General features: G+C 41.6%; 1 protein-coding gene, 2 long non-coding RNA genes and 1 pseudogene across 11 annotated transcripts in view, besides 3 other annotated features; 2 read left to right on the plus strand and 2 right to left on the minus strand.

Moving 5' to 3' along the window:
- The window catches only part of ALDH1L1 (aldehyde dehydrogenase 1 family member L1), a 94,376-nt gene that overhangs the window by 56,334 nt on the left and 10,480 nt on the right, over positions 1 to 27,562 (minus strand). For 4 of the 9 annotated variants that reach the window (NR_072979.2, NM_001270365.2, XM_017005614.3 and 1 more), the window contains exons 1-2: positions 20,573 to 20,683; positions 950 to 1,099 (exon numbers count right to left, since the gene is read on the minus strand). Coding sequence is in view for 8 of the 9 variants with exons in the window: in NM_001270365.2 (NP_001257294.1) it covers positions 950 to 1,076 (127 nt within the window). In the remaining variant the exon portion in view is untranslated. Of the gene's footprint in view, positions 1 to 949; positions 1,100 to 20,572; positions 20,684 to 20,896; positions 20,983 to 21,058; positions 21,284 to 21,564; positions 21,645 to 27,562 lie in introns of those variants that run through there. The other 5 variants (XM_017005613.3, NM_001270364.2, XM_011512355.2 and 2 more) reach the window with 4 other exon arrangements.
- LOC105374083 (uncharacterized) lies at positions 180 to 9,594 on the plus strand. Its single transcript, XR_007096056.1, has 3 exons — positions 180 to 272; positions 382 to 534; positions 9,508 to 9,594. It is a non-coding gene; the product is annotated as an uncharacterized LOC105374083 (long non-coding RNA).
- RNU1-30P (RNA, U1 small nuclear 30, pseudogene) lies at positions 380 to 542 on the minus strand (annotated as a pseudogene).
- The window catches only part of ALDH1L1-AS2 (ALDH1L1 antisense RNA 2), a 30,105-nt gene continuing 22,704 nt past the window's right edge, over positions 20,162 to 27,562 (plus strand). The window contains exon 1 of the long non-coding RNA NR_046383.1: positions 20,162 to 20,641. This is a non-coding gene — a long non-coding RNA (ALDH1L1 antisense RNA 2). The remainder of the gene's footprint in view (positions 20,642 to 27,562) is intronic.
- Positions 20,343 to 21,098: an enhancer, noted in NCBI's record as "H3K4me1 hESC enhancer chr3:125899089-125899844 (GRCh37/hg19 assembly coordinates)". NCBI's record gives its function as "activates a minimal SCP1, AML or CMV promoter by ChIP-STARR-seq in primed H9 embryonic stem cells {active_cell/tissue: H9 hESC(primed)}" and the evidence as "EXISTENCE:reporter gene assay evidence [ECO:0000049][PMID:30033119]".
- Positions 21,099 to 21,852: an enhancer, noted in NCBI's record as "H3K4me1 hESC enhancer chr3:125899845-125900598 (GRCh37/hg19 assembly coordinates)". NCBI's record gives its function as "activates a minimal SCP1, AML or CMV promoter by ChIP-STARR-seq in primed H9 embryonic stem cells {active_cell/tissue: H9 hESC(primed)}" and the evidence as "EXISTENCE:reporter gene assay evidence [ECO:0000049][PMID:30033119]".
- Positions 24,703 to 24,997: an enhancer, noted in NCBI's record as "tiled region #2719; HepG2 Activating DNase matched - State 5:Enh, and K562 Activating non-DNase unmatched - State 24:Quies". NCBI's record gives its function as "activates a minimal TATA promoter and a strong SV40 promoter by Sharpr-MPRA in HepG2 cells, with weaker activation in K562 cells {active_cell/tissue: HepG2 | K562}" and the evidence as "EXISTENCE:reporter gene assay evidence [ECO:0000049][PMID:27701403]".

Below are 27,562 nucleotides of genomic sequence, written 5' to 3' on the forward strand. Positions count from 1 at the left end.
CTTAACAAACTACACCTCTGTGCCTGGCCAGGCCTACAAGCCCCCTTTCCTAATCCTGGCCCTCTATCCTTAAGCCCTGCCCCACAGTCTGTCTCCATCAGGCCTGAGAAGGACCAGTCAGTGTTCCTAGAGGGTCTGTTCATCCAAGCTGAGGCCCCTGCATCCTGTCTGCTGAGGTTCCCAGCTCAAAGGCAGTGACCCAGACCCATGATTCTCAAAACGTGCTTTTCCTAGTACAAGAGATGCCAGTATCTCCCAGGAACTTGTCCCAGGTTAACAATTTCACCTAATTCTGACTTTTCCACCTCATTCTGAATCCGAAACTCTCAGGGTGCGCTTAGTACTCTCTGTGTTTTTTTCTTTTCTTTTACAAAATGCCAGGGGAGAGTGCAAATGCAGTTCCCCATTACCACAAATTATGAAGTCGAGTTTCCCACCTTTGGGGAAATTGCAGGGATCAGCACATCCAGAGTACAATGGAGAAGACTCGCCCTGGGAAAACCACCTTTGTGATCATGGTCTCTCCCCTGATGGGTAAGTAGAGCACTATGTGTTTTGACGGCAGCCCCAGCAATGGTGATGCCGCGCATGCCCACCTTTCAGAATATGGACCCCCAGTTCAGAACATGGAGACCTTCCCAATCATGGGTGCTGGGTCAGAGAAGCTCTGTGTGGGACCTGGGACCAGGCTGGGCTTCTCTATAGCCCTTCTCCAGGACCCTAATGCCACCCCATGATCAGGTGGGGAGGGGATCTCCAATTTATTCCAGAAAAGCCCAGCAGCCTGTTGGCACTGGAGCAGGATTCAAGGTAGACCACTTATGGCTGCCTCCCAGCTAGAGCACAGGCCCTGCAGACTTCTGCTCCCAGACTCCCACCTACTGCTTCCCTTCTACCTGGATGGGCGGGCCGCCCTCCATCAGCTTCCCTGCTCCATTGGCTCACTCACCCAGGGGGTCGGCCTTTCCATCCTTGTCTGGAACAGTGAACACACCCACCACTTCGTGGCCCTCCTTCCTCAGGTGGCAGTAAACTTCCTGGCCAAACAGGCTCTGTCCAATCACTGCAATCTTCATGGTAGCAGGAGGGTTGGAAGGACCTGGAGAAGGAATAAGGCAGCAATTAGACAGAGATCGCTGGTCTCAGAGAAGCCAGCCCTGGTTCAAGACAGGGCAGTTCATGGCACCTGGCCTGCTCTACCCCAGTCCCCTCTGTGGCTCTGTGGGTGGCAGGCCACTGAGGGGAGACTGCCACTGTAAGAGAGACCAGATGAAACATGTACACATGACCCAATGGATCCCTAATGTCAGAATATTCAATGCGACAGCAGGTGAGCTGGAAATGGATTGTAGAATTAGGGGATTTCTTTTTGAAACCTTCCAAACTGGCATGGAATGTTGGGTGTCAAGATGTTTGATATGTATTTGAGCATATTTCTGTAACTAACCAGTTCTATGGCCTTGGTCAAGTCACACTTGTTCATGAGAAAGATGCCACATCTCTCAAATGGCTTTCAGCCTACAAATTAGGCTTATTCCTCTGAGCCAGGAGTCACAAAAGGAGCAAGGGGAGTCCCCGCCGAAGGGGCTGTCCAGCTGAGCTGCAACAGAAAAGGGGCCTGCGTGGGGGCGCCTGAGGATGAAGGTGGTGGAAAGTGGAATGGGATTCCACTAAGGAAGATGTGTAGAATGAAGCCTAGCTAATCATGCACATTCTCCAAAGATTGGTCATTCATTCACCTCACGCATATCTGTAAAACCTGAACTATTATTCACTTAATACAGTTCTTTAAATTGTCCTTTTACGAAAATAAGATTTTATTTTGGAAAATTTTATTAAAGTAATGTGTACTTCATACATACAGAAAGTGCACAAATCATAGATGTGTAGCTCAATGAATTTCACAAACCAAACACACCACTGTCAACACCACCAGAAAGAGAAAAACTCCAGGAACTCTTTGAGCCTCTTCTAGTCACTACATTCACCAAGAATGATGGGACTTCTAACAGCATCGAATGGTTTCGCTTGATATATATATATATCCCCTTTATATGTATTCATTTTACATAAATGGAACCATGCAGTGTTTTGTAGATTTTCTCCCTCAACATTATCTTTGTGGTTGCATGTAGTTGTACTGAGTTTATTCTCATTGCTGCAGAGTATTTTGATATGTGGATGACCTCTAGTTCATTTATTCATTCTATTGTTAATGGAATTTGGGTAGTTACCAGTTTAAAGGTATTACAAATAGGATGCTACAAAGATACTTGCACATGGTCTTCATGGTACACATGTACACATCTCTGTCAGGTGTGTACTTAGGGTGGAATTCCTGGGTCATAGGTGTGAAAATTTCCAGCTTTAACAGACGCTGCCAGTTTTCCAGAGTGGTTGTATTAGTTTCCACTTCCATGTGCTCTCCACTTTGGCTTGTGTCTTCATTTTAGCGCTTTTCCTAACATGAAATACAGCTGTCTCATTGGGGTTTAATTTGCAATTCCCTGATGACCAATGAAGTCGAATGCCTTTTCCTGTTTCTTGGCTATTTGGATATCCTTTTGTGGGAATCATCTCTTCAAATCTTTTGTCTGTTTTTTTCCATTGGGTGGTTTTATTCTTATTGAAAAGGAGTTTTTTTGTATTGTTGCTCTGTTTTGTTTTTTAATCATCTAGACTTTGAGCTCTTTGTCAGATATGTGTATGGAAAATATCTTCCCTAATTCTGTGGCTTGCCTTTTTCATCCTCGTATAATGTCTTTTGATGAACAGATGTTCTTAAACTTAATATAGTACATTTTATCAAACATTTCCTTTATGTTTAGTGGTTCTTGTATTCTATTTAAAAAATCTTTGCCTACTCCAACTTCATGAAGATGTTCTCCTTGTCATTCAAGATCTTTATTGTTTTGCCTTTTACATTAGATGTGCAATCCCTCTGGAACTGATTTTTTCATACAATATAAGGTAGAAGTCCAGAATTTTTTTTCCATCTGCATATAAAATTAACCCAGCACTAGTTACTGAAAAGACGTTTCTTCATTGAAAAGGATCATACATGTACACATCTATCTTTGAAACTTTAGTCAGTTTGTCTATCTTTGCATTTAGTATAGCTTAAAAATGTTTTTTGTTGTAGTGGTGAAGATACATAACCTAAAGCTTTATTGTAGCTGATCTACCTAGTAGTTGTGAAGTGGTATTTCATTGTGGTTTTGATTTGTATTTTCCTATTGAATCATGATGTTAAACATCTTTTCATGTGCTTTTTGGCCATTTGTATACCTTCTTTGGAGCAATGTTTATTCGAGTTTTGACCCATTTTAAAAATTGGTTTGTCTTTTTTGTTGCTAGCATATAGAAATACAATTGATTTTGTACACTGACGTTGTATTAACTAGCACCTTAATTGCTTCACATATAAATTTTCATACTGTGTAGATTCTTTGTGGTTTTCTAAGTATAAAATCATGTTATGATGTTGGTTTTAATTCTTTCTTTCTAATCCTGAAGTCTTTCATTTCATTTACTTTCTTATAGCACTTGCCAATATATCCACTACAATATTGAATACAGATGGTGATAGTAGTTCCTGTCTCATTCCTGTGACCTTGGGAAGAAACCATTCAATATTTGACCATTGGTTAGCTTTGGGGAATTTTGGTAGATAGACTAGCATATTATGAAAGTTGTCTTATTAATATATTTCTGGCTGCCAATCATGACAAGGAGTTGACTTTTACCAAATGTTCTTCCTATAGGTCATGAGATTTTTATTTTATTGTGGTGGATCATAATGATTGATTTTTAAATGTTAAGCCACCTTTGCATTCTTGGAATGAATACCACTTGACCATGATGTATAACCTTTCTATATATCTCTGAATTTGAAGAGCTGGTATTTTATTTGTTTTTAAATCTATGCTTGTAAGAAATATTGACATGAACCAGTCCCAGTCGCTCATGACTGCAACCCCAGCACGTTGGGAGGCTGAGGTGGGCAGATTGCTAGAGGCCAGGAGTTCAAGACCATCCTGGGCAACATAGTGAGACCCCATCTCTGCAAAAACAAACAATAGCTGGACATGGTAGTACGTGCCTGTAGTCCCAGCTACTTGGGAGGCTGAGGCATGAGAATCACTTGAGTCTGGGAGGTCTAGGCTAGAGTGAGCTGAGACCCTACCACTGCACTCCAGCCTGGGCAACAGAGTGAGACTATGTCTCAAAAAAAAAAGGCAAGGCAAGGCAAGGTAGGGCGGGGCAGGGCAGGGTGAGGCAGAAAAGAAGAAAAGAAATATTGATGTGTCAAATACTTCATTGTAACAAATGTCCTATTCAGGTTTTGGTGTAGCTTTCTCTTTCTTTCAACTTTTATTTTAGAAACAGGGGGTGCAGGTGCAGGTTTGATATATGAACATATTGCACCCAGGTAGTAAGCACAGTACCCAACGGAGTTTTTTCAACCCATTCCCGTACTCCCTCTAGCAGTCTGCAGTGTCTGTTGTTCCCATTTTATGTGCATGTGTGCTCAATGTTGAGCTCCCACTTACAAGTGAGAACGTGCAGTATCTGGTTTTCTGTTTATGCCTTAATTCACTTAGGATTACGGCCTCTAGTCCACCCATGTTGCTGCAAAAGACATGCTTTCACTCCTTTTTATGGTTGTGTAATATTCCATGGTGTATATGTACATTTTATTTATCCAATCCACCATTGTTGGGCACCTAAGTTGATTCCCTGTCACTGCTGTTGTGAATAGTCCAACGACGAACATACAAGCGCATGTGTCTTTTTCATATAATGATCTATTTTCCTTTGGGTATATACCCAGTAATGGGATTGCTGGGTTGGATGGTAGTTCTAAGTTCTTTAAGAAATCTCTAAACTTTTCTTTAAGAAACTTCCACAGTGGCTGAACTAATTTACATTCCCACCAACAGTGTATAAGCGTTGTTTTCTCTATAGCCTCACCAGCACTGTTATTGACTTTTTAGTAATAGCCATTCTGACCAGTGTAAGATGGTATCTCATTGTGATTTTGATTTGCATTTCTCTAATGATTAGTGATGAGGAACATATTAAAATTTTCCTCATTTTAATTAGTGATGAGGAACATATTGAAATGTTCCTCATTTGTTGGCTGCTTGTACGTGTTTTTTTGGGAAGTGTCTGTTCATGTCCTTTGCCCATTTTTTAATGGGGTTATTTGTTTTTCGCTTATGGAAGGGATGTTGGATTTTATCCAAAGCTTTTTCTGTATCTATTGAGATGATCATATAGTTTTTGCTTTTAATTCTGTTTATGTGGTGAATCACATTTATTGATTTGTGTATGTTAAACCAGCCTTGCATCCCAAGAATAAAGCCCACTTAAGCACAGTATATTAACTTTTTGATGTGCTGCTGGATTTGGTTTGCTAGTATTTTGTTGAGGATTTTTGTGTCTATGTTCATCGGGGATATTGGCCTGAAGTTTTCTTTTTTTGTTATGTCTCTGCCAGATTTTGGTATTAGGCAGATGCTGGCTTCACAGAATGAGTCAGGTAGGATCCCCTCCTTTTCAATTTTTTTGTAATACTTTCAATAGGATTGGTGTCATTACTTCTTTGTATGTCTGGTATAATTCAGTGTGAATCCATCTGGCCCTGAGCTTTCCTTGGTTGGTAGTTGTTTTCATTACTGATTCAGTTTCAGAGCTCAATATTGGTCTATTCAGCATTTCAATCTTTTCCTACTTTAGTCTTGGGAGATTGTGTGTTTCTAGGAATTTATCCATTTCCTTTAGATTTTCTCATTTGTGTGCATATATTTGTTCACAGTATTCTCTAAGAATCTTTTCTAATTTCTGTGGATTGGTTGTAATGTCATCTTTGCCATTTTTGACTATACTTATTTGGATCTTCTCTTTTTGTGTGTTAATGTAGCTAGTGGTCTAATGATCTTGTTTATTTTTATTTTTTTGAAAAACCAACTCTTGATTTCATTGATCTTTTGTATGGATTTTTGCATCTCAATTTCATTCAGTTCTCTAATTTTTACTTCTTTTCTTTGACTGGCTTTGGGGTTGGTTTGTTCTTTTTTTCTAGTTCCTTTAGGTGAAGTTAGTTTGTTAATTTGAGATCTTTCTATCTTCTCGATGAAGCCATTTAGTGCTAGAAACTTTCCTCTTAACACTGCTTTAGCTGTATCTCAGAGATTCTGGCAATAGGTTCCCCATATTCAGGGTTTCTTCTACTTTAAACCGCACCCCTCGTCCTTCTCCACCGGTTCAAAAACTGCTCCAACCAGTCAAACCTCCCCTGCCATTCTCCCTCTCCGGGAAGTGGCCAGGGTTAAAGGCATTGCTCACGTTCATGTCCCCTTCTCCATGTCTGATTTGTGGCAGATAGAACAGCTTCTGGGATCTTTCTCTAAAAATCCCTCTCATTATCACAGGGAATTCCTGCATATAACTCAATCCTTTCATTTAACTTGGCATAACATTTATATAATTCCAAAATCCACCCTTACCTTTAATAAAAAAGAGTGCTCAGCTTAATTAAAATGGATATCCAAGAAAGTATATTCAAAAGTCCTTTATGTTTTTCTCTTCATAAATCTTGTTTTCCTGAAAAAAGTTTTTTTCTCAGCCAAAATTACATTTCTCCACTCTGTCTTGCCACTTTTAGTGCATGTTTATAGAAACTTAACAATGTCTTTATTAATAATTTTATTATAAAATTTCATAAACCATGTTTTTCAAAATAAATTTGTATCAAATCCAGCTTCCCAAAAATGCTAATAGTTAAGTATATCAATGTACTAAGTAAATCATTCACTCATACCCACTGGGAAAATTTAATGTTACTGCCCTTCACAGTGAAAAAAAAATCTTTCATTTTAAAAATTAAATTTAAAAATGTTACATAAGTTGGCACTTCAGTAGTGTATACACTAGCATTAGTTTATACACTACTTTTGCCACTGGGGAATTCAAGTTAAAATGCCCCTCTGTCATATAGCTCTAAAATACATCTTTCATTCATAATTTCTGCTCATACAATTAAATAGTTTGGGTCATTTTCATTTATACTATAAAACAAAAGCAAACTAGTCCAGTTTAATTTTTTATACTTAAAATACTGCACATTTTCTGTATATGAGTCATTCAGATTAGTATCTACGTAGGTTCAGTCAAATCCAACCATAAATTCAAGTTATTATACTATATAAGCCTATAAAATACATAGAAGTATTATTACGTTGCCTTTATAACAAAACCCAAGAGTCTGTTTCAATTTATAAATTCAGCATTTAAGCAAAAAGATTTTAGTTCCCAAAGTTCTAAAAAAATGACAAAACAATAAGGAAAAAAGGAACCAGGGCTTAGTGCCGCATATTTTTCTCTTGGGGTTGTAAGGTAGTCTCCTTCTTTTCAGAACACTTTATTATATTTCACTTATAGACCTAACTTTCTGTGTTGAAGTATAATTCTCATGCTGAAGCTCTAACCTAAAAAGGCAAAAAAAGTTGTCTTCATTGTACAAACATATTCATCGCTTTAACAAGATAATAAGGGAACAAAATTTAGAATGCAAGCTAAGTAAGAATACTATCTCTATAAACATGTCCCTAAGATAAACCATAATTGGCAGCTAATTTACCTGTCTAGAAAATCTCAGTTCCCACCAGCAAAAATATCCTCAGTGGCTAGTGCACCTTAAGAAAAATCTGGCATACTAAATAAATAATGTTAACGTGGGAGCCAGAAGCTACCCAGCCTTGCCTTTAGACTCCTCTGTGACTACAACAATAAAGCCAGCACTTTTAAAACTAGTAAGCATTCACATGTCGGTATCATAAAGAGTATTGCCCAACTAAACTTTGCTCCCACCTGTTCAGTAGTTACTTATTTCTACCTAAGCACTCACCTTGCGATTTTACCCAAGTGTTTAAAATTGAAAAAACAGCATTATATTTCAGAGCTACTTCGCCCAAATTACAAAATGAGTCAGTGTTTTTAGTTTCAAGTCACACACAAAAAAACTTAACACATTTTACCTTAAAGTTAAAAATTGCTAAAAGTTATCATTATAACATGTAATTAAAACTGCTAAACATGGATTTGCATGCAAGGTGTATAAAAACAGTAAAAAGTGTTTTTAGTTAAAAATTATAAAAAGGCATAAAAATGTACATTTTGCTGAAGAATAATAAATTGTCTTAAAATTAAATAAAATAAAGTGAAAGGTTTAGGCAAATTGTAAAAACATCATAAAAATTAATTCTGCAAATAAAACTCTTGTGTGTTAACACATTAACTAAACTCAAAAGAGTATTATATGCTTTTTTTCTGTAAATTAAACACTAAAATAAAAGCACCACAAGATTTTCTTAAAATGCTAATCTACTCTTTAGCAAAACTTGTCAAGGGTTATAATGGGCATATAAAAATCTCACTTCATAGTCAAACTCATTAAAATTAAATAAAATTATCTATAAGGTTTCATTAAAATTAAAGTTAACATTAATAGCAAACTAATGAAAGGGTAAAATTTAACTTTCTCTCTTAAACAAAATTTTCCTGTAATACAAAAGGCTAATAAATGGTTTTTGCTTTTCCAGATTGTTATCTCATCATTTTAGCAAAACAAAACAAACAGAAAAAAACTTAACGGTAATCTAAAATTCTATTTCATAATATCGAGGGTTTTAAATTTTAAACATATTTAACAGTCTTCCCCAAATCAAACTTTAGTCTCGAGGTTGTCTTTCCTAACCCCTGGCTTTTCGGTGCTGCACAAAACCCCTAAACCATCCAAAAAGAGGTAAACAGAATTATTTAGCAACATAAAATTTCCAAAAGACTGTCTAATAGGTTATATTCTAAGGAATAATACTAACATATGTTCCAAAACTGTATGGGATGTCTAAGGTTCTTATGTCTAAATATGTGCTATTAATCACACTTAAAGTTGTTATGTTGGGTTATTGTAAACCACAAAAACAACCACATTTCTTTGTCAATTGTGTTTCTAACAGTATCCAAACTAGACATTTTGTTATTTACAGACAATTTTTATTTTGTTTGAATTATCTTCAAAACGTGGTTTATATTCAAGCTGTGAAACTTTAACAAGCGCTCTCAAAGGCAGGTTTCTCACAACAGCAACAACAACAACAAAACATGCAGAACTCACAAAAAGCTAAAATGTTTATAAATATCAAGCAAAACAAAAATTAATAAAATGCACTAAACTAATAAAAAACAAAAACAAGTTTTTACCTTTTCCTTAGAATGCTGCTAATCTTTATCTTATTTTTCAGAGTCAAGAAAACTTGTCTTAAGCTAGCTACAGCTTCTAACAACTAAGTAAAGTATACTCCTGTAAATAGAATTTAAAGCGTGTTTTTTTCTCTTTGCCTAGTTCCTCTAGAATTTAAAAACTAGTTATAAGCATTCTTAAAGGACAACACTACAGTTGTTTGCATCAGTGCAATAAGAATCTATTTTCTTTTGTAACAGAATACAATTGGAAAAACTGGTTATTTTCCCAAGGCTTTGACTGGAATGGTGTGCTCTCCTCTAAGGAATCAAACTTAAGAAGCCAATGAAACCCTTGGAAAACTGGCCTCATATTTTGTGTGCACAGTCCCTGTACAGGGTTTCTGATGTGTGGTAAGTAAAGAATGTCACTTTCTGACAGGCCAGGAACCCCAAGTTATCTTAAAACCTCAAAAGAAAAGGAATTCACCCAACTCATAAGTATTTAATGGTACAAATCCATGGCTGGGCTTGGCTTTAACAACTCTTATCTCAAATTCCTTCTATGTAACAAAGTTCCATCAAAGCTGATTTAAAAGGCCTATGTAGCAAATAATTATTATTGCTGCACTGTATACAAATAATTAAGCCAAGTATAATAAAGCAAATCAGTCCTATCATAAATTCTTTTAATAAAAATAGGAAACTGAAAAGTAAAAATTATGTTTCAAAAACTATAGCACACCTGTTGTTAAATTCTAGTCTTGCCTAACATTTTTCAATTTTTATTATCTTTTACAGTTTAAATTATATCCGTTACAGAAATCAACTCCTGGATACATCATATTCAAGTCAAAGCCTAAAGAGCTGAGAAAGCAACCCCTAACAGTCCAAAAAAAGTCCTATTCATGTAAAAAAATAAATAAGAAATCTTAAGCTAAAAATCATAAAAGTTAAGTAACTAAGTAAAAATTGCTCATCTTACTCAGTCTCAACCCCACCTCACCAAATACTTTTTGTCGTTTCTACTTCTCCTTTTAAGCCAACTATTAAAACCTTTTTTAATGAAAATTATTTACTATGACACCCTCGCGGGAACTGCTGTACTCACTCTACTATTTGCAGTAGGACTGTGAACCCTCAGAGTGGAATATCTGACAGAGAATCTCAATTACTGTAGCATTTTGCTTAATTATTATCCTCATAGCAGGAATAACAGTTACTAACAAAAAATAACACATGGGTCTTTCCAAACATGCACCTCTGCCTGTCATTAAAAAAAAAAAAAAAAAAAGTTACTTCTGTCTCAACCAGTCGGGCCTAATAAAAAATGCTGCTGAAAAGCCTAGGACTAATGTTTTTACTCTGCCTAATTAACCTTTATCAAAAATTTTTAACCGACAGAATCATGGCCATTTCGCAACTACCCAAAAACATCTACAAATGGTGTTGATCCTACAGTCAATCTAAGACCAAAAAACTCTCCACCCCCGCATCAGCAGGAAGTAGCTAGAAAGAACATGTCCCCTCTTGTCCTTTTATAACCATAGGGTCTGGAATGATAGAGCAGGAGTACTGTCATCTCAGACAAACACCGCCACTTTAAATTCCAGCTCCCTTTCTAGCCTCATGCATTTCAAGGAAATCACTTCTCTTCTAACTACAAGCAGCCAGAAAGAGCAGACAGTAAAACACGGATAAGACAGCTGGGACACAAAGGGAGGTGGGGGGAAAGTATCTTGGGTAACTGCCAAACTTCACCCTCATACGATGGGCCCCAGTAAAACAGTGGGCCTTAATAATAAGGAACAAGCACATTCCCTTTCCTTCAGGGGCACTAAGACAGGAAAGCTAAAAGCAGACTCTTGGCTGGGCGCGGTGGCTCATGCCTGTAATCCCAGCACTTTGGGAGGCCGAGGCGGGCGGATCACGAGGTAAGGAGATCAAGACCATCCTGGCTAACACGGTGAAACCCCGTCTCTACTAAAACTACAAAAAATTAGCCAGGCGTGGTGGCGCATGCCTGTAGTCCCATCTACTCAGGAGGCTGAGGCAGGAAAATCGCTTGAACCTGGGAAGCAGAGGTTGCAGTGAGCCGAGATGGCGCCACTGCACTCCGGCCTAGCGACAGAGCGAGACTCTGTCTCAATAAATAAGTAAAAACAGACTCAGGGACTATACCTGCAGCTGCAGGAAAAATGTATGAAAACAGGCACACAACTCTCCCTCCCAGATAAGCACAACAAAGAGACACAGAAGCAGTCCAAGCCTCTGATAAACTCTCCCATCCTGAATCCTTAAAAACTCAGTCTGTAAGAGAGTGTGCCTCTGACCTAACTTGGCCAGAAGGCTCCTTTCAGGTTGATTTTCTCTAAAATAAATGTCTTAACTGGCAAGCCAGCTTTTGTATTTCTTTCCTCTTTCTTTAATTCTTACAGTTCTCACAGTAAGGATTGGAGAAAAATCCCCTTCTGGTTTTGGCAGGAGGCAAGGAAAGCAGTCATTTTTTTCTCAACATATCTACCCTCATAGAAACTATTATACCAGAGCCTAAGTGAATGGACACCCAGGGCCTAACTAACCTAAGTGATGAGGAAAAACCCAAATCCAGCCCCTCTAGCCTTTCTCATCACCTAAAAGGGGTAGGACTGAGAAACACTTGTGAAGGTCACAGCCCAGGGGTGCAGGCTCACTGAAACACTAAGACCTAATTGTAGGACTGTAAAACACTTCCCCCCACCAAAACACCTTGCTACTACATCCACAGGGCTCCAGTATAGTAACAAGGGGATTACGGATAAGAGAACTGCAAGCCAGAGCCTATTTAAGGAGTTTCTACAAAAACCCAAAGACAACAGGGTAGACAAAAACAAGAAGATGAAGAGAGAAAATTATATCCTCTGATACCCACAGCTATAGCAAATAGTAAACACATTCTAACTCCTAGACAGGTAAATATCAAACCTCACACTAAAAGCCTATCTACCTCAGTACCTTTTACCCAATACATTATATCTGATTTTCTGCAAAACAATTACAAGATATATAAAAGACAAAAACACAGTTTGCAAAGATGAAACAAGCACCTAAACCACAATCAGATATGGAAGCAATGTTGGAATTTTCAGATGGAAAATTTAAAACAATGATAATTAAAATGCTAAGAGCTCTAATGGAAAAATGTGGAGAACATATAAGAACAAATTGGTCATGTAAGCAGAGAGATGGAAATTAAGAAAAAAATCAAAAAAAGTCTAGAAATAAAAACCCTGTGATAAATGCAAAGAATGTCTTTAATAGGTTTATCAATAGACTGGATACAGTTGAGGAAATAATCAATGAGATGGATGAAATATCAACAAACACTTCCCAAACTGAAATGCAAAGGGAAATATAGAATAAAAAAGACAAAACAGAATATCCAAGAATGGTGGGACAATTGCCATAGGTGTAAATCCTTGTAATAGGGATATCAGATGGAATAAAAAGAAAGAAAGGAATAGTAAAAATGTTTGAAGTGATAATGACTGATAATTTTCCAAAATTAAAGACAGATACCAAACCAAGATCCAAGCAGCTCAGAGGAAACCAAATAGGATAAAGATCACCCCCCACCCCCCAAAAAATCTATACTTAGGCATATCATATTCAAACTGCAAAAAATAAAAGACACAGAGATAATCTTCAGTGAAGCCAGGGAGAGGCAGGGCAGGACACCTTACCTATAGAGGGAGAGAGATGAGGATTACATCAAACGTCTCTTCATAAACCATGCAATCAGGAATAGAATAGAAAGAATTATTTAAAGAACTGAAAACATTCCATCAACTTAGAACTAACTAGATTCCATCTGTATGCAGTAAAATTGTCCTTCAAAAGTGGAGGAGAAAGACTTCTCAAACAAAAATTGAAGGAATTTGTCACCAGTAAACTGCCTTACAAGATATGTTAAAAGAAGTAATTCAGAAAAAAAGGAAAATTAAACAAGTCAGAAACTCAACATACAAAAGAGTATTAGAAATAAATGTGAAATAATTTTTTTTCTTATTCTTAATCTGAGAGATAACAATTTGTTCAAAATAATAATTGCAACAATGTATTCAGTGATTGTAGCTTATGGATAAGTGAAATGAATGATAGCAGTAATAATAAGGCATGGGAGGGAGGAATCAAGAATACTCTGCAATAAGGCCCTTACACTACCCATAAAGTTGTATAGTGTTATTCAAAAGCAGACTTAAATTAGATTTAAGTGTATATTGCAAACTGTAGGTCAACCACTAAAAAAGCAACAACAAAAAAGTAAAACTGATATGCTAAGAGAGAAAAGAAAATGGAATCATATAAAATGCTCAGTTAAGATCAGAAAAGGCAGAAAAAAGTGTGGAAGAAAAAAGAAACAAAGGGCAAATAGAAAACAGTAATAAATATGGTAAATATTAATCCAACTATATCAAAAAATCACTTCAAATATCAATGGTGTAAATATACCAATTAAAACATGTGACTATCTAGAGTGAATAAAGAATCGTGACCTAACTATATGTTGTCTACAACAAACCCATTTCAACATAAAAACCAGATAGGTTACAAATAAAGGGATGGAGAAAGATATACCGTGCTACCACTAATCAAAAGAAATATGGAGTAGTTCTATTAACTTCAGATAAAGCAGACTTCAGAGAAAGGAAAATTATTAGGAATAAAGAGAAGCACTACATAATGGTAAAGGAGTCAATTATCCCAGCAGACATAATACTCCTTAATATGTATGTGCCTAACAACAGTGCTAAAATGTGTAAAGCAAAAACTGACAGAATTTTAAGGAGAAATAGATGAATCCACTATTATTACAGTTGGAGACATCAACACCTCTCTGTCAGTCCCCACTAACGTTTTTTTTGGGGGGGCGGAGTTTCACTCTTGTTGCCCAGGCTGGAGTGCAGTGGCACGATCTCGGCTCACTGCAACCTCCGCCTCCCGGGTTCAAGCAATTCCCCTGCCTCAGCCGCCCGAGTAGCTAGGATTACAGGCATGCACCACCACGTCCGGCTAATTTTGTATTTTTAGTAGAGCCTCCATGTTGGTCAGGCTGGTCTCGCACTCCTGACCTCAGGTGATCTGCCCACCTCGGCCTCCCAAAGTGCTGGTATTACAGGCGTAAGCCACCGTGCCTGGCCAGTACCCACTAACTGATAGATCCAGCAGGCTGGAAATCAGTAAGGACATAGTTGAACAGCACCATCAATTAAGTGTATCTAATTGGCATTTAGAGAATACTTCACCCAACAACAACAGAATACACATTCTTCTCAAGTTCACATGGAATATTCATCAAGACAGACCACATTCTGTGCCATAAAACATACAACAACAAATATCAATGACTTCTATGATGGAGATTACTGAGATCACAACAGAATCACTAGAAATCAATAACAGAAAGATATCTGAAAAACATTAAAAAAATGGAAACTAAATGACACACTTCTAAACAACATGTAAACAAATCAAAGAATAACTCTCAAGAAAAAATTTAAAATATTTCAAACTAAATTAAAATGAAAATATAACATCAAAATTTATGGGATGCTGCTAAAGTAGTGTTTAGAGGGAAATTTAGAGCACTGAATGCATATATTATTAAAGAAGAAAGAGCTAAAAGCAAGTTTCCAAATTAGGAAACTAGAAAAAGAAGAGCAAATTAAATCCAAAATAAACAGAAGAAAGGAAATAATAAAAATTACAGCAGAACTTGTGAAATTGAAAACATGCTGTCAATAGAGAAAATCAACAAAACCTAAAGCTGGTTCCTTGAAAAGATGAATAAAACTGAGACACCTCTAGCCAGGTTAACTAAGAAGAAAAAGAGAGAAGACTCAAATTACTAATATCAAAAATGAAAGAAGGGCCATCAATACTGATCCTACGGTCATTAAAAGGATAATAAAATACTAGTATGAACAACTCTATATCAACAAATTTGGTAAGTTAAATGAAATGAAACAATCCCTTGAAAGTACAACGTTCCAAAACTCACACAAAGAGAAATAGATAATCTGAATAGGCCTATACTGATTAAAGAACTGGAGCCAGTAGCCTTCCAAAATAGAAAGCACTAGGGTTAATGAATATGACTAAACATTTAAGAAAGAAATTATGCCAATTCTCTATGATCTCTTTCAAAAAATAGAAGTAGAGGAAATTCTCTAATTTTCTTGGGTCAGAATTACCCTGGTACCAAAACCAGAAACATTACAAGAAAGGAAACTAACAGATCAATATTTCTCATAAACATAGATGTTAAAATCCTCAAAAAAATCAGCAATTGAATCCAACAATGTTTAAAAAGAATTATACATAACCACCACATGGGATTTATTCTAGGTTAAACATTTGAAAATCAATTAATGTAATCCATCGCATGAATAGGCTAAGGAAGAATTATATGATCACATCAATAGATCCAGAAAATGCATTTGACAAGAATCTAACATTCATTTATGATAAGAGCTTTCAGCAAGCTAGTAATAAATGGGAACTTAACTTGATAAAGAAGATCTATGAAAAACCTACAGCTAACATCATACTTAATGGAGAGAAACTAGAAGCTTTTCCCCTAAGATCAGAAATAAGGCAAGGATGTTCCCTTTCACCCTTCCTAGTCAACATTATACTGGAAGTGCTGGCTAATGTAATTAGAAAAGAAAAGAAAATGAAAAGTCTACAGATTGGGAAGGAAGAAATAAACTGTTCTTGTTCTCAAAAAACATAATTGGCTATGTGGAAAATGCCAACAAAGCAACAGAAAACTGGAAATAATAAGTTATTCTGCCAAAGTTGCTGGATGTAAAGTCATGGTTAATATACAAAAATTGATTACTTTCTTATATACTAGCAATAAACAATTGAAATTTGAGATTAAAAACACAAAACCATTTACATTAGCACCAAAAAGTGAATTATTTATACATAAACCTAAAATAGGTCAAAATCTATGTGAGAATAACCATAACTGATGAAAACATAAAAATATGTATAAATAAATGAAGAGATAGTACATGTTCATGGGTAGGGAAACTCTATACTGTCCAGATGTCAGTTCTTTCCGACTTTATCTATAGATTCAATGCAATCCCAATCAAAACCCCAGCAGTTATTTGTGGATATCAACAAACTGATTCTCAAGTTTATTTGGAGAGACAAAAGACCTGGGATAGTCAACACAATATTGAAGGAGAACGAAGTTAGAGGACCGATACTGCCTGTCCCCAAGACTTTACTATAAAGCTACAGTAATCAAGACAGTACGGTATTGGCAAAAGAATAGTCAGATAGATCAATTGAACAGAATAGAGAGCCCAGAAGTAAACTCACATCAATACAGTCAACTGAACTTTGACAAAGAGACAAAGGCAAGACAATGGAGAAAATCTGCATTGCACAAAAATCACACAAATATCTGTACACTGATGTTTACAGCATCTTTATTTGTAACTGCCAAAACTTGGATTTGACTTTTTAGATACAACAACAACAGCACAATTCATGGAGGAAAAAAAATGGTACATTAGACCTTATTAAAATTTAAAACTTCTGCTCTGCAAAAGACACTGTTAAGAGAATGAAAAGACAAGCCATGGTTGGGGAGAGAAGACATATCTGGTAAAGCACTGTTATCCAAAATATACAAAGAACTATTAAAACTCAACAGTAAAACAAACAACCCAATTTTAAAATGGGCCAAGTAAATTAACCGACATTCACAAAAGAAGATATACAGATGGCAGAGAAGCATTTAAAAAGATGCTCAACACTGTAAGTCATTACAGATTGCAAATTAAAATATAACAATGAGATACTACTATATGCGTATTAGAAGAGTTAAATTAAGAGCACTGACAACAAATGCTGATGAGGCTGTGGAGCAACAGGAACTCTTATTTATTACTGGTAGAAATGAAAAATTATGCCACCACTATGGAAAAAGGTTTGGTAGTTTTTTATAACACGAAACATACTTTTACCATGTGATCCATCAATCGCTCTTGATATTTACTCAAAGGAGAAGAAAACTAATGTCCACACAAAAACCTGCACACAAATGTTGATAGCAGCTTTATTCACTGCTAAAACTTGGAAGCAACCAAGATATCCTGTAGTATGTGAATGGAGAAATAAACTGTGGTACCTCCACATCCATACAACAGAATATTAGTCAATGATAAAAAGAAATGGGTTACCAAGTCACAGAAAGACATGGAGGATGCTTAAATGCATTTTGCTAAGCGAAAGAAGCCAGTCTGGAAAGGCTATATACCATATGATTCATACATACTATATGACATTCTGGAAAAGGCAAAACTACAAAGGCAGTAACCAGTGGTTGCCAGGGATAGGTAGGGGGGTTGGGGGGTGGATGGGTAGAGCACAGGAGAGTTTTAGGGCAGTGAAACTATTCTCTATGATACTGTAACACTGGATACTCATCATTATATGTTTGTCCAAAACCATAGAAGGTACAACACCAAGAGGGAATTCTAATGTAAATTATGGACTTTCATTAATAACATTGCATCGATATTGGCTCACCAAGTATAACAAAATTGGCCAGGCCTGGTGGCTCACACCTGTAATCCCAGCACTTTGGGAGGCCAAGGCGGGCTGATCACTTGAGGCCAGGAGTTCAAAAGCAGCCTGGCTAACATGGTAAAACCCTGTCTCTACTATTATAAAAATACAATAATTAGCTGGGCATGGTGGTGCACCTGTAATCCCAGCTACTCGAGAGGCTGAGGCCCAAGAATTGCTTGAACCTGGGAGGCAGAAACTGTAGTGAGCTGAGATTGTGCCACTGCACTCCAGCCTAGGCAACAGAGCAAGACTGTTTCAAAAAGAAAAAAGCTGTAACAAAAATATCCTATCAATGCATGATGTTAAAAATAGGGGAGGCCAGGCCTAGTGGTTCATGCCTGTAATCCCAGCACTTTGGGAGGCCAAGGCAGAGGATCACTTGAGCCCTTGAGTTCAAGGCCAGCTTGGGCAACAAAGTGAGACCCATCTCTACAAAAAAATTTTTAAATTAGCCAGGCGTGGTTGTGCATGCCTGTAGTCCCAGCTACTTGGGAGGCTGAGGCATGAGAATCACTTGAGCCCAGGAGTTCAAAGCTGCAGTAAGCTGTGTTTGTGCCACTGCACTCCAGCCTGGGCAACAAAGTGAGACCCTGTCTCAAAAAAAAAAAAAAAGAAAAAAAAAAAAAGAAAGGAAAAGAATAGAAAGAAAAATAGGAGAAAGCGCGCAGGAAGGGACAGACTGAGAATATGGGAACTCTGCACTCCGTCCTCAATTCTTCTGTAAACCTAAAACTGCTCTAAAAATGTCTACTAATTGAAATAAATAAATGAATCTAGCTCTATAGTTCACATCTTACTCTAAAATACAGTCCAATTGGGTTAAAAATAAATACTTGAAAATCAAATATAAGAAGAAAACATTAAATTATTAGAAAATATTGGTAAATATTGAGTTATACAAACCTGACACTGTCAAAACACCCAACAAGTAACAAACCACGATAATTGTGTAAGGCTTAAGTTTGTGTGTGTGTGTGTGTGTGTCTGTGTGTGCATGCGTGTGTTTATCTGCAGGGTAAAAGCCTAGAAGAATTTACACTGAAATGTTGAAAGTTACTGGGTAAAGGGTTTTGGGTTTCAGAGGTTTTTGACGACTGTAATTATTTTGTTTTCTTAACTGAATGTTCTTTTTTTATATTGTACATGATTACTTCTGAAAAAAAAAAATAAAAGAGTATGTCGTTCCCCCCCTGCAGGGAGGCAGAGTCCAGGTGGCCACCAAGGGGCTGTTGTCACAGTCCAGGGAAAGCCAGAATGGCAGGCACGGGAGCCTTGGGAGGGGCCTCAATCAGGCTTGCCCTTTGGCCCCAGAAAGAGCAGGGGCCTGCAGTGAAGCCCATAGAGCCCCTTGTGGGCCGTATGGGCCGCCTCCAGGCCTCCACCTCCTCCCCCAGTCATGGCCGCTCAGTGTCCTTTCACTTGGTGGTGTGGGGACACTGGGAGGCTTCCTGGGCCTCCCAACCCTCCTACCCAATTCCCAGCCCAGGCTTGGCTCTCCAGGACCCAGCTTCTAGTCCCTGTGAGGCTGGGCCACCCTGCAGGACTGCAGCTCTGGGCCCTCTGTTCTGGTGCTAGGGCCCTGGGGCCCATGAATGCAGTTCTAGCACTCGGGAGGCTGAGGCGGGAGAATCACTTGAACCCGGGAGGCGGAGGTTGCAGTGAGCCGAGATCGTGCCACTGCACTCCAGCCTGGGCGACAGAGCGAGACTCTGTCTCAAACAAACAAACAAACAAACAGCAGCCAACATTCTCCGAGGGTTTCCTAGGGCCAGGCGCGGGGCAGTCTCATGTAATTCTCAAGCAATCTTGGGAGGCAGGCACTACTGTTCATTGCCCCTCCCGATTTTAGAGACAAGAAACTAAGATTCAGAACACAAGAAACTTGCCCAAGGTCAAGGAGAAGTGGAGGCGTGGGGAGGAAACAAAGTCACCTGACACCAGAGCCCATGCCTCCAAACTCCAAGTCTGGGACTCCTGATTAAATTCCGTCTCTGTCTGCACTTTGGGAAGATTCTTTCCTCTCCTAGGCAAGTGCCCGCGGGGCCTGAGCTCTCGATAGCGGGGCCCCAGGAGCCACGTTGTGGGGTCTGCTATCCGGCCTCCCTCTGCACGCGCGACCGTCCACTTGAGCGCAGTGGCTGGAGCTGGGACTCCAGCGCAGCCCCTGAGCGCTCACGTCGACCCCTCCAATCACAAGAGGCCCTCGTGCCAGGCCCCCAGATTTGGCCAATCAGGGAAGACCTTTCCCTGTCACAGAATGGGGTCGAGGGGCCCAGGAAACAGGTAGTCCCCAGTCACAAATCATCGCGTCGCCTTCGCTGGTCCCTTTCTCTTATCGAGCCTCAGTTTTCTCTTCCATAAGCCGGGCCAGCAGTGCCCACCCCACAGGTTGGCGCCAGCTCCGTAAGGGCCCTACCACCGCGGCCGGCCAGATCCTCGGCGGGCCAGTCCTGGCGCTGCGGTCATTTAGCCTGATGACCCCTGGCCAGGTTCAGCCTCAATTGCTCCAAAGAACTCCGGACCCGTACCCCGAGCCCGGCGTCCCAGCGGCGAAGTTGATGGGCCCCGCAGGAGCCCTTGCGGTGAGAACCGAGTCCTGGAGCCCCTGGAGCCCCCGGAGCCCCCGGAGCTGCAGCCGGGGCAGCCTCCTTTCCGCCGGGAGTCCAGCGCTCTCGAGAGCCCAGAAACTCACCGCGCGCAGGAGTTGGTGCGGGCGTCCCGGGCAGGTTAGACTTCTGTGAGCCGCAGCCCCGAAACTGAGGTTGGTGCAGACCCGTCCTGGGAGCCAGGAGGTGGGACCTGTCCCCGCCAGTCCGCGAGCTCTGGTTAAGGCCAGAGCCCGTGAGGGGAGGGGCGCGGGGCGGGCGGAGAGTCAGCCGAGTGGGGGCGGCGCTCACCGGTGGTGGGACTATGGCGGGAGCGCAGCGCACCCTCTCCGGGCGGGTCTATAAATGCCATGTAAAAGCCAACCCCGCAGGGGCCTGCGCTCTTTCCCGCTTAGGTCAAGAAGACTTACTGTGGACCCTTGGAGAATTCCCAGGGCTTTGAAAAGTCCCAAGCACCCAGCAGGGCTGGCAGTTCTGAGCGCTGGCAAGGCTAAGTGGGTCAGAGGAGACCCTCGCCAAGCCGGTGACTCACTCACTCGCTCACCCTCTCTCACTCTTGATGGGCCAAGTACCTGCCATGTGCTACGGACACAGCAGAGCGAAAGGAGACGCTGCCCTCCGGGAATTTGCAGCCGCTTGCAGAGGCGGCCCCTTAGCAGCTGCGCATCCGGGTGGATAGCGGCGCTTCTGCCCGCCCAGTGCCTACCCGCCTCTCCGAGAGAAAAACAGCCCCTGGTTTTCTCTCTGCAATTCCCCTTCTCCACTCTCTCCCTTCTACTCAGTCCTGGTGCCGCAGACCCCTCCTCCTGGTTCCCAGAGATCCTGGCCAGCCCGGTCTCAGGCAAGGCCATGTAGAATGCCGGGAGTGATAATTGCGTATTGTTTCATGACTGCAAGCCTGTGTCCAGGTGGCTCCTTCTCCTGGAACACCCTTCCCACCACACCTGCGGCCGCACTGCTCCGTGCCCTGCTAAGCCTCACTTCTTTTGAGGCGACCCTCTCGCTAAGTCCCGACCACCTGGCCCTCTCTCTGCTCAGTGCCTGAACACATCAGGCTTGCTGCAGCCCCTGCCTTTACCTCTCTACTTGTAGTGTTCTTTCAGAGCCTGCTCCCATATGGTATCACATATCAGATATCTGATGCAGAGCCTTAGAGAGGCTGTTCCAGGTCACACAAACTAAGGAAGTCCCTCAGCCACTCCCTGCCACATCACCCTGTTCTATTTCCTTCACAGCACTTAACTGTATATCTGATATTTCCTTGTTTCTTTGTTTGTTCATTGTCTGTCTCTCCCACTAGACTGTAAGCTCTTTGAGGACAGGAAATTTGTGAGATGTATTCACTGTTGTATCCCCAATACACAGTGATGGCTTGTAGCAGTTGCTAAATAAATGTTTGTTGAATGGCTTAATGCATGTATTTTGCTCACATAAGCCAGTATGGGCACCCAGGATTGAGGTGGCCTGTGCCTGCTGATCCACTTAGCCTACTTTCAGGCACTGTCCCCTTGTTCTTTAGGCTCCAGCCTGCAGGTCTCCCTGCTGTCCCTCATATCTGTGGAACTTCTCGACTCATAAAGTTTCCATGTGCCGTTCATCTTTGTCCAGAGAACCCCCATCATTCTTCAGGAAGTTCCTACTAAAATGCCATGACTTCAGGGAAGCTTTCCCTAGCCTCAGCCTTACTAGGACAGATTCCTCCATTATGTGATCACAGAGAGGCCTGTAATTTTTCTTCATGAACCTCTCTCAACTTTATTTATTTATTTTTTTTTGAGGTAGAGTCTCACTCTGTCACCCAGGCTAGAGTCCAATGGTGCAATCTCAGCTCAATGGACCCTCCACCTCCTAGGTTCAAGCGATTCTCCTGCCTTAGCCTCCTGAGTAGCTGGGATTACAGGCATGCGCCACCACACCCAGCTAATTTTTGTATTTTTAGTAGACGTTTCACCGGGGTTTCACCATGTTGGCCAGGCTGGTCTCAAACTCCTGACGTCAGATGATCCACCTACCTCAGCCTCCCAAAGTGCTGAGATTACAGGCATGAGCCACTGCACCCTGCCTTCAACTGCAATTTTATCACTGCTTCTGGGATTGCTTGATTAACATGTCTCTGGACAATGATGGCGAAGACTAGCTTATTCTCCTGGGAAGTCCCCAGGGCTGAATGCATGCCCTGTGTGTGGAAGGTGTGCCATATAATCTGTAGGAAAACTGGCTGAGTGTTAGGGGCCTGCAATGGGAAAGTGGTGTGTTCTGAACTTGGGAGTTAAAATTGAGAAGGCAGATGGGCGACAGGAACCACTGAACAATGGCTTGGAGGTTAGACACCCCAAAAAGATGTATTAGGAAATCAGAGAGGAATCCATACTCTTAGAGGTATGGAGCAGGAGAGGAGGGAATTTTAAGCAGAAAGTGTTCCGAAATCATGTGGAAAGTAGAAAATGTACCAGATGAACTGGGGGATCTCATTAAGGAGATTGTTGAAGGTGCCTCCTCCTGGCTTCTTCTTGCTGCTTATACTAAAATGTGAGAGAAGGGACATAAGCCAAAGGAAGGATTGTTAAATAAAAAGGAACCATAACTTGGGCTGTGAAAATGTCCAGCTTCTCCAGATGTCATATGATGCTAAAACTAACAAATGGCTTCCAGGCAAAGAGCAAATGCAGGCCAGTGCAAGGAAGATGGCCTAAAGATGAAGCCAAGAGTGTGGTCATGAGATCTTTTGTAAAATCTTCAAAGAGAACAAAGGGACACCTCAGAATATTTTGTTAAATAGTAGGATTTCTAAGAAGCTTACAGTTGTCCTTGACAGCAGTCTCAGCAGAAGCCCAAGAGAGAGAAGGGCTTTTCTCAAAGAGATGTGTGGGTTTGACAGTTGTCTAAAGGCATGAACCTCAGTGAGATCTACAGGAGACATGCAACATTTTTAAAAGAATTATATGAGCAAAACAGTGTAGACTTGGACTGAAAGGGTCAGAGACAATATAAAATGAAAAGAGACCTCTAGACTCCCCCAAATTCTGGGAGGAAGCAAGCTGAGAAACTATACGGATATGAACCTGGGCTGCATTTCATGGAAAAGAAGGGATGACTTGGGGAATAGAACAAAGAACCCAAAGGGTGGAGCCAAGAGCGTGGAGAATCACTCTGGGGCCAGAGTCAGACTGAGTCCTATTCAAGAGACTTTCAGGACCCGCCCAGGAAGATTTTAGAATTGCCGTACACTAGTTACTCCTGCATGCCTCCTGTCCTTGTTCCCTTTGGAGCAGGCACGTCTACAGTGGTTATCCAATGCCTATCCCACCAGTTTATGTCAGGTGGGTGCAGGGGGGAGGCGCAGTTAATTTGTCTCTGGAATTCCTAAGTCTGTAGATTGAGAGCAACTCTACTCAAGGAGCTACACTTGAGGGAATAATACCCCAGGTGCTTCACCCACATCAAAGCCTGATTTAGATGCAGAGATTCTGGATATTGAGCTGATTCTACAGTGGGATGAGGCTTTGAGGGGATGTTTGGAGGGCGAATGTATTTTGCATGTGGAAGGATGTAAGTAGTTTGTGGCCAGTAGGTGGACTGTGGTCATTTTAAAACTCTCTGATGCTCTTCCATTCAAGGAGTGGCACTTAATTCCCCTGCCTTTGAATGTAGGCTGAACGTAGTGACTTCCTTTTAACACATGAAAGATGGTGGAAGTAACTGTGTGATTTCCGAATCCATCCTTTCATAGACCAGAGAGAGAAGCTGAGGCTTGAGGTCAGACAGTGGCAGAAGCCAGCTTGTCCCTGTCCCAGGACTATATGATACTCTCTGAACGAGTCCCACTGAAACCCTCTTTTGCCAGTTCAGTTCACTGTGCCGGGAATGCCCTGCTTCTTGAAGCCACCAGCTGAGCCCTGCCTGTGCCCCAGGGATGGGCTTGTGCATCATCTCCTTTGGGAAGCCTGACCCCAACCTTCTCCTTGGGAATTCCCTCACTCACAGCACAGACCACACTCTAATGCAACTATTTATATGTGTGTCTGTCTCTTTATCAACTGCAACACCTCTGAGGGCAGGGACAGGGCCTGTTTCATCTGTGTATCCCACAGCCCTGCACAGGCCCTGATCCAGGAGAGGCACCTGCAGTGACAGTGGCTGGATAAGCCCTGCAGAGAGAGCCTCTGCCCGGGCTTTCCGCAGGGCCCTGGTGGCTAAGTCCTCCCAGGGAAAGCAGTGTGCACTTACACAGCCCAAGTCTGGGTAGAACAATGGGGGCTACTGCTCCAATCCAGAGGCAGATTAGGAGACAAGCCTGGCTCAGGGCTCTGTGAATGGGGGATGGGATAGACATGGGTTCTCTTTCTGTTGTATAATGATGATTCAGCTTGTTTTTGGGGAATCAGTAACTGGGACTGTGTGTACGCTGCAAAGGAAACATTAACTTGAAGGTCATAGCCTGTGGGAAATCAAAGCGGGGAGGCCAAGTGACCTGGGCTTGTTTTTGTTTTGTTTTGTTTTGTTTTAATTTTGGAGCCAGTGTTTCTCTTTATCTCCTAGGATGCCTCGTTCAGATGCTTCTACCCTGCCTCGTGAGTTACTCATGATGTCACCTGATCCCCACCCCTTAGAACCTCTCCCCAGTGGGAACCAAGAATTCAAAATGGTTTTCTCCATATTTCCCCCTTTAAAGGGCCTGCATGCAATTTTTCATGTAGAGGCGAAGGTAGGGATGAGACTTAACAGAGCTCTGTGCCACACACCAGAGCCCACCTGATGACCTGCAGACATAGATGGAATGCTTCTGGGCCACAGAGCTTACAGCCCTGCTCCTGCCAGGTCCTCTCCAGCCCCATGCCAAATCTAACCTGGGGGTGTTGCGTGTTTGCACCCCCATGCAAACTGGCTGGTGCCAGCACCTGGCTGGCACATGGCCCCCAGAAACTCACTGTAAAGGAATAAATGAGCAAAGAGGAGGCAGGGACGGTGTCTCTACTCCAGGTGCTCGCACCTCTATGGGGGAGATGAATGCACAGGTGGCAGATATGAAAGGTGGGAGGGGATGTGAACCATCACAGAGGTGAGACATGAAGAAAGCGGGTCTGGGTACTTCAGGCTTCACCTGGGAGATAAGGCCCAGTAAGACTGTGATGACTTTAACCAGCAAAAAATAAGAAACGTTCCAGTTGGAGAGAATGTAAGAATGATGCATTGGTGCATGGAGGTGGGGATGTGGGTTGTTTTTGAGGAATCAGGAGAAAGCATTGCAGCTGCAGGAGAGAAGCTGGCAAAGTCAGGGGTCACGAGGCCACAACATGGGGTGCAGACTGTGGGTTTCACTCTGTTGTCCAGTGGTAACAAGATGTTCTGATTTCATAGGCCAGGGCAATTTCAACAGCATTCCAGTAACTGATATTAGATTCTCATTTTCTTATTTTGCAAAGTAAAAACATCTTTAAAAAGTCAATATTCTGGAGTATTATTCAGACTTAAAAAGGAAGAAAATTCTGACACACATTACAACATGGAGGAATCTTGAGTAGTTTATTCTAACTGAGTTAACCCAGCCACAATAGGACAAATGGTTCTGTTTCTATGAGGTCCCTAAAGTACTCATGTTCATAGAGACAGAAAGTGGAATGGGGGGTGCCAGGGGCCATGGGGAGGGGAGAATGGGGAGTTCATGTTTAATGGGGACAGAGTTTCAGTTGAAAAAGTTCTGGAGATGGATGGCAGTGATGGTTGCACGACAGTGTGAATGCTCTTAAAAACATAGCACTGTGCACTAAAGAATAGTTAAAATGGTAAATTTTGGGTTATGTTTATTTTACCACAATTAAAAATAATAACTTTAAAAAATCAGTTTCCATCAGCCATCACCATAATTGCATTGGAAAAGCTCATGTAGCATCAGAAAGCTGAAAGGAGCAACTGGGCCTTCTTGGAAGCTCTGTCCCTGATGGCCCTGGGCCTGGGCTGGCCACTAAGTGTGAGGAAATCACCCACCCAGGATTCAGCGCAGGCATGTGCAAGACAAGTGAGCAGAACGTGGCACTGGTTGGGGAGCACAGGATGGTGCCATGGCCCAGGGCCAGGGACAGCAGGGCCCTGACCCTGACCCTGAACCTGACCCTGACCCTGACCCTGACCCTGAGCCTGAGGGCTTGGGGTGTGGAGAACTTCATGGAACCCAGAGGAGTGCAGCGTGTAGGGACTGCTTGGGAGATGCGGCAACTGTGATCATAACAGGGAGCAGGGAAGACCCAGCTCCCTCCCTCACCTCATGTCCTTCCAGGACCCTCCAATGGCTAAGTCTCTGCAAGTCAGAGGTAGAGAGGCCTGGGGCTGCAGCCCTCCCAGGTCAGACTCCAAGCACCAGGCCCCGTGAAGGGTGGGGAGTGGACCAGAGGGATCCGCAGATGAGTGGCACTGTCCAGTCAGTGGAGAGCCCACCTCATGTTGCTCAGTGGAGGGAGCTCCATGTGAAGTAGCTGCAAAAGTGCTGGAAATGCTGCAGGGCAAAAAGAAGTGGTGAGGCAGCTGGAGATCAGCAGTAGCACCAGCCGCCACCACCTGAAACTGCACGGACGCTGGGAGGGCAAAGTCACTGTGGAGCTCTGAAGTTGGAACCATCCAGGAACAGGCACCCAGGGCTGCTCAGGGGGAGCGGGGATCGAGGAGAGGCTGCTGCCATTCCTGGAGCACACACTGCGAAGTGTTTGGCTGGGAAGGGGAAGGTAACAAGAGAAGGTCATGGTGGGAACGGGGAAAGGCTGTAATGAGAGAGACTTAAGAGTGTAAAAAGCTATTGAGAAAGACTCAGCTGAGAAGGAAAAGTTGAATGTACAAGAAAGAAAGGGGAGAATCAGTAGTGTCTGTGGTTCCTAAAAACGGGGGGAAGGGAAGATGTCCAAAAGCAGATTCCGAGGTGGCTTGAACAGCATCATAACCAGAAGGAAGGAAGGGAGGGTGGGAGGATGGATGGGTGGGTAGCTAGATGGACGGTGGGGTTTCTTTACCCATGGTTCATGTTGGTACAAGATCCCCCCTTGTGGCTTTCCTTCTCTCTCTAAAGAGTGGAGTAAGGTCATCTCCCG

Source organism: Homo sapiens, chromosome 3 (assembly GCF_000001405.40).
Source record: "Homo sapiens chromosome 3, GRCh38.p14 Primary Assembly".
NCBI lineage: Eukaryota > Metazoa > Chordata > Mammalia > Primates > Hominidae > Homo > Homo sapiens.